Below are 6377 nucleotides of genomic sequence, written 5' to 3'. Positions count from 1 at the left end.
AGCCTCCAGGCCTGTGATAGGAAGAGCTGCCTTGAAGGTCTTTGAAATTCCTTCAAGGCCTTCTCCCCGTTGTTTTGGCTGTTAGCACGTGGCTCCTTTTAACTTATGCAAATTTATGCAGCTTGCTTGAATCCCTCCCCTAAAAATGGGCTTTTCTTTCCTACCACATGGCCGGGCTGCAAACATTCTAAACTTTTACCCTCTGTGTCTCCTTTAAATATAAGTTACAATTTTAACTCATTTATTTGCTCACACATATGGGCATAGGTTGTTAGAAGCAGCCAGGCTACATCTTGAAGTCTTTGCTGCTTAGAAATTTCTTCCACCAGTTACCCTAAATCATCATTCTCAAGCTCAAACCTCCATAGATCCCTGGGGCAGGAGCACAGTGCTGCCAAGTTCTTTGCTAAGGCATAACAAAAATGACCTCTGCTCCAGTCCCAATAACTTCCTCATTTCCATCTGAGACCTTGTCAGCCTGTGTCACCATACATATCACTGTCAGCATTTTGGTCACAACCATTTATCCAGTCTCTAGGAAGTTCTAAACATTCTCTCATCTTCCTCTCTTCTTCTGAGCCCTCCAAAGTCTTCCAACCTCTGCCTGTTACCCAGTTCCAAAGTCACTTCCACATTTTCAGGTATCTTTACAGCAATGCCCCACTCCTGGTACCAATTTTCTGTATTACTCTGTTCTCACATCGTTACAAAGAAATACTTGAGGCTGGGTAATTTATAAAGAAAAGAAGCTTAATTGGCTCATGGTTCTGCAGGCTGTACAGGAAGCATTGCCATCTCTGCTTGGCTTCTGGAGAGGCCTCAGAAAACTTACAATTAAGGTAGAAGACAAAGGGAGAGCAGACACATCACATGGCCAGAGCAGGAGGAAAAGAGAGAGCGAGGCTGGAGGTGACACACTTTTTTTTTTTTTTTGAGATGGAGTCTCACTCTGCTGCCAGGCTGGAGTGCAGTGGCGCAACCTTGGCTCACTGCAACCTCTGCCTCCCAGGTTCAAGCAATTCTCCTGCCTCAGCCTCTTGAGTAGCTGGGACTACAGGTTCATGCCACCACGCCAGCTAATTTCTGTATTTTTAGTAGAGATGGGGTTTCACCATGTTGGCCAGGGTGGTCTCGATCTCTTGACCTCTTGATCTGCCTGCCTTGGCCTCCCAAAGTGCTGGGATTACAGGTGTGAGCCATCACACCCAGCCAACACACACACAAACCCCACAACTCATTGAACAGAAACCCTTGTTGCCAAGGGCACTCCAGAGAAAGTCTGAAAACTGAGTTCCCAGCCATGACTGGACAGGAGCCCAGACACACCTTGTTATACCCCCTTCCTCACTAACCACCATGAGGCTTTCTTCCCAAAGGGCTAAACAGCAATCAGCCCTTTGGGGAGACTCCACCACTGACATCAACCAAGTGCCAGACTATGGCCCTTCCATTTTTGCGGTTTCAACACAACTAACCAGCATTCCTCCCTGCTGAAAGACCATCGACCAGGCAGTAGTTCCAGCCAGTCTACACAGAATGACCAGGCATTCGTTCTAGCCTGTCTACAGAGAATGACCAGGCAGTGGTTCCGGCCAGTCTACAGAGATTCACCAGGCAGTGGTTCCGGCCGGTCTACAGAGATTCACCAAGCAGTGGTTCCGGCCGGTCTACAGAGAATGACCAGGCAGTGCTTCCGGCCGGTCTACAGAGAATGATCAGGCAGTGGTTCCGGCCGGTCTACAGAGATTCACCAGGCAGTGGTTCCGGCCGGTCTACAGAGATTCACCAGGCAGTGGTTCCGGCCGGTCTACAGAGATTCACCAGGCAGTGGTTCCGGCCGGTCTACAGAGATTCACCAGGCAGTGGTTCCGGCCGGTCTACAGAGATTCACCAGGCAGTGGTTCCGGCCGGTCTACAGAGATTCACCAGGCAGTGGTTCCGGCCGGTCTACAGAGATTCACCAGGCAGTGGTTCCGGCCGGTCTACAGAGAATGACCAGGCAGTGCTTCCGGCCGGTCTACAGAGAATGATCAGGCAGTGGTTCCGGCCGGTCTACAGAGAATGACCAGGCAGTGGTTCCGGCCGGTCTACAGAGATTCACCAGGCAGTGGTTCCGGCCGGTCTACAGAGATTCACCAGGCAGTGGTTCCGGCCGGTCTACAGAGATTCACCAGGCAGTGGTTCCGGCCGGTCTACAGAGATTCACCAGGCAGTGGTTCCGGCCGGTCTACAGAGATTCACCAGGCAGTGGTTCCGGCCGGTCTACAGAGAATGACCAGGCAGTGGTTCCGGCCGGTCTACAGAGAATGACCAGGCAGTGGTTGCGGCCGGTCTACAGAGAATGACCAGGCAGTGGTTCCGGCCGGTCTACACAGAATGCATAGTGAGGGTCGTTGCATCCGCTACTTCACCTTGGAGGTCGGAGGCCCAAAAACTCCACCCTTGAGTCATGCTAACAGTGCCATTTTTTGAACACTGGACCCAGGGAGAGGCAGGAAGCTCAATCATGAATGCACACATTTCTCCTCTCATACATATTCATGAGTTCTCGTATACCTTATGGGGGTATGTATATTTGGCCAAGCCATCCAGTGAAATCCCCATCTTATTCTTCTGTCCCTTGAAGAGCCTATTTCTGGCTTCTGGCCAGAGGCTATGCTTTCCAGCCTGTCCAAATGACCAGGCTGCAACTCTTTATGAGAAATAAAGCTTTCCTTTCCAAATCTGGGAAACCTCATGATTCTTCAGTTGACGAACCTAAAGAACACATGTAGAAGTGCCCTGAGTGATTTTTCCTATGAGAATAAAAGGGATCAGCTGAGATTGATTCAGTCAAGCTGAAACTCCCCAAAATATATGAGGCAGTAGAGAAATGGCTAGAGGCAGTATGTGTGAAATGAAGTTTAAATTTAGTTTCTGCACTCAGAAACAATTATTAGGGGCCAATTAAGTGAACAAGGACCCACAGAGAACTGCAGAACCCTCAGCACATGACAACTCATCCAAACCCTCACACTAGGAGACTCGTCAGAAGTACTCCAGCATAGCTTCCAGCAGCGTAGGGCTGCGCCCCCAGGATGACCCAGCAGCACTTCCACCCTTACGGCTTCCATTAAAACAAAAGCTCTGTGCAGGAAGGAAATTTTACCATGCTCCAGCCCAGGTGTCCCCAAACTTTTTGGCACCAGGGACCGGATTCATGGAAGACAATTTTTCCACAGATGGGCTGAGGGGAGGGTTGGGATGATTCAAATGCACATTTATAGTGCATTTTGTTTCTATTATTATTGCATTGTAATATATAATGAAATAATTATACAACTCACCATAATGTAGAATCAGTGGGAGCCCTGAGCTTGTTTTCCTGCAACTAGACGGTCCCATCTGGGAGACAGTGACAGATCATCAGGCCTTAGAGTCTCATTAAGGAGCACACAACCTAGATCCCTCACATGCGCGGTTCACAATAGGGTTCGTGCTCCTATCAGAATCAAATGCTGCTGCTGATCTTACTGGAGGCGGGCTCAGGAGGTAATGCAACCGATGGGGAGCAGCTGAAGCTACAGATGAAGCTTCGTTTGCTCGCTTGCCCGTGCACTCACCTCCTACTATGTGGCCCGCTTGGGGACCTCTGCTCTAGCCAACTTCTGATGATAGGCCCCAACCTCCCTTTCTTGGAGCATGTACTAAAAAGCTTACTGTTTGTAAATATGTCTTGCAACTCAGAAGGGCCTCTCTCAAGGCCTGAGAGCCCTCCCTTTGAAAGGTAATCATCAGGAAGGGTGAGGCCTCTATCTCCCAGTCTCTGCAGGAGAACAGAATCCTGTTTGAAGACAAAACTACAACAAACTCAGTTTAAAGATCTCAATTGACCTCATTTGCAATTCTAGAATCAGGCAACACTTCATTCCACAAAATAAAATAAGTGTTCCAATGAGTCATAGAGAGGAGGTTGGCTCTACAGACAGAAAAGTGTTGTTCAGGCCGTACAGTGTGTCTTTACTCGATATCTCAGACCACACACTGCAGACATCTTTATAATTTTGAAATGTTTTTGTATTTTATTATACCTTATTTAAAAACCAAAGATAGGCTACTTGGATATTTATTATGACAATTTTCTGGAAGATAAGAGTCTTGAAGATGATGCTTCTTTTTCAAATTTGCCTGAAGGTGCCATAAAGGACCTGGGGTGTTCGGCCGGGCGCGGTGGCTCACGCCTGTAATCCCAGCACTTTGGGAGGCCGAGGTGGGTGGATTACCTGAGGTCAGGAGTTCAAGACCAGCCTGGCCAACATGGTGAAACTCTGTCTCTACTAAAAATACAAAAATTAGCCAGGCGTGGTACCACACACCTGTAATCCCAGCTACTCAGGAGGCTGAGGCAGGAGAATTGCTTGAGCCCAGGATGCGGAGGTTGCAGTAAGCCGAGATCATGCCACTACACTCCAGCAAGACTCTATCTCCAAAAAAAAGGCCCTGGGGTGTGGAGCCTGCTCATCTCATTAAGGAAGTTTCTAGAGCACATGACATCCCAGTGGTGACCCTGGTTTTCAGAAAGGGGCAGATGCCAGGAGGTCAGGCATGGCTGAGGGTCTCAGTTTCCCTGGGAAAGGGGACCCTGCAGTCCCTCTTGGTCTAGGTGGGAGCAAGACGGGTGGGGGGTTACCCTGAAGAGGCCAGGAGAGGAATTCTGACAACCCCTTGGTCTGCCATTCTCCCTCCATAGGCCACTAGCTTCTCCTATGCAGGGAGAGTCTCAGGAGAGGGGGGAGGTTACGTGGCAACCCCCAAAAGGACTGATCATTGCTTTGTCACTTTATTTATAACATTTGAGACTTTCGAAAAAGTAATACAAGCCCACTAGAATTTCTCAGAGTACAAAATGTTAAAGAGTCAAAATAAATATACTCCATCTGCAACTGCTTATCTCGAGAGGTGGTCACTGGGATGACTGTTTTGTGTATCCTATTGTGAAATATTCCAATATATGGCCTCCCTGTGCCTCAGTTTCCTGCTTTGTAAGGTAGGGACAACAATACACCAGGAGGTTGTTATGAGGATTGAATTAGCTAATCCTTGCAATTCAGTGAAAGCTAGATACGAATTTACAAGCTTCCCCCCTCTTACACACTGTTTTGTCCTTTGTCACTAGTTGTTTTTCCAGGAGAATTCTCATCTTACACACAAATGGGCCTCATGCTTTTTAAAGGGCTGCAGAGTACCCTGGCGTTTATGGAATTTTCCCCACTGGGGCCAGTCTGGTTGTCTCTGGCCTCTGGCACCCATGGGCATTTGCCATAACAGTTGTGAGCCTCTCTTTAGGATTATCTCCTATAAACAGAAGCCACAACAAATGTCGTGTGTGTGGATCCCAAATAGATGTTTCCTAACTAGTCCCAAGGTAGTTGTAGCCAGAATACTCCCAACCTTTGCTGAGAGGGGTCTCCTCCCTTGCCTTTGAATGGCCTAATTCTTAATCTACAAATCACCCATGCCGAACACCCAAGAACTGGAAATGCAGCTTGACAGGAAGAAAGAAGTTCCCGGCCAGGCGCGGTGGCTCACGCTTGTAATCCCAGCACTTTGGGAGGCCGAGGCGAGCTGATCACGAGGTTAGTAGTTCGAGACCAGCCTGGCCAACACAGTGAAACCCCATCTCTACTAAAACTACAAAAATTAGCTGGGCATGGTGGCAGGCGTTTGTAATCCCAGCTACTCACCGCTAGAACCAAGGAGGCGGAGGTTGCAGTGAGCCGAGATTGTGCCACTGCACTCCAGCCTAGGCGACAGAGTGTGACTCCGTCTCAAAAAAAAAAAAAGTTCCCAGATCCCAGAGCAGGACAGCCAGTCCACCATCATGCGGGTGCAGCGTTTCCCAGATTTTAAATAGAGAATGTCCGTTATTTCATTAATACATTGTGGCAGGTGAACGACTGCCAGTGGCTTGAGGATAAAAGAATTTACCAAGACAGTTGTATGTAAGAGAAGGCAGATTTACTAGAGAAAGTAGGAAAATACGTTGCCAGAGAGAAGACGGGCAGCCAGCAGAAGAGAAACTGACTGCACAGAAACAAAGCCTTGCTGGAGAGTGTGCGTTAATAACCTTCAGGCGTCTGGTGAGACTGGGGCGCAGGAAGAATGTGTTATTTGCCGTGTGTCTGGAGGGCTGTGTGTCCTGGAGCATGAAGAAGGCAGACTAGTAGCTTGTCTGCTTTCTCTGTTTGCTTTCCCCTGCCTCCCTTTCCCTAATGAGGACTTCACATATATAACATATAGTCAAAATGTGTTCTCTGTATATTACGTAAGGTTAATACAACGATGGATACTCGCCGGCACACGCAGTTCTATGGCTTTTCTCACTTTCTGCAGGGCAC

Source organism: Homo sapiens, chromosome 16, assembly GCF_000001405.40.
Source record: "Homo sapiens chromosome 16, GRCh38.p14 Primary Assembly".
In the NCBI taxonomy this organism is placed as follows: domain Eukaryota; kingdom Metazoa; phylum Chordata; class Mammalia; order Primates; family Hominidae; genus Homo; species Homo sapiens.
The sequence above is the reverse complement of the archived record's forward strand: the minus strand, read 5'-3'. Positions refer to the sequence as shown.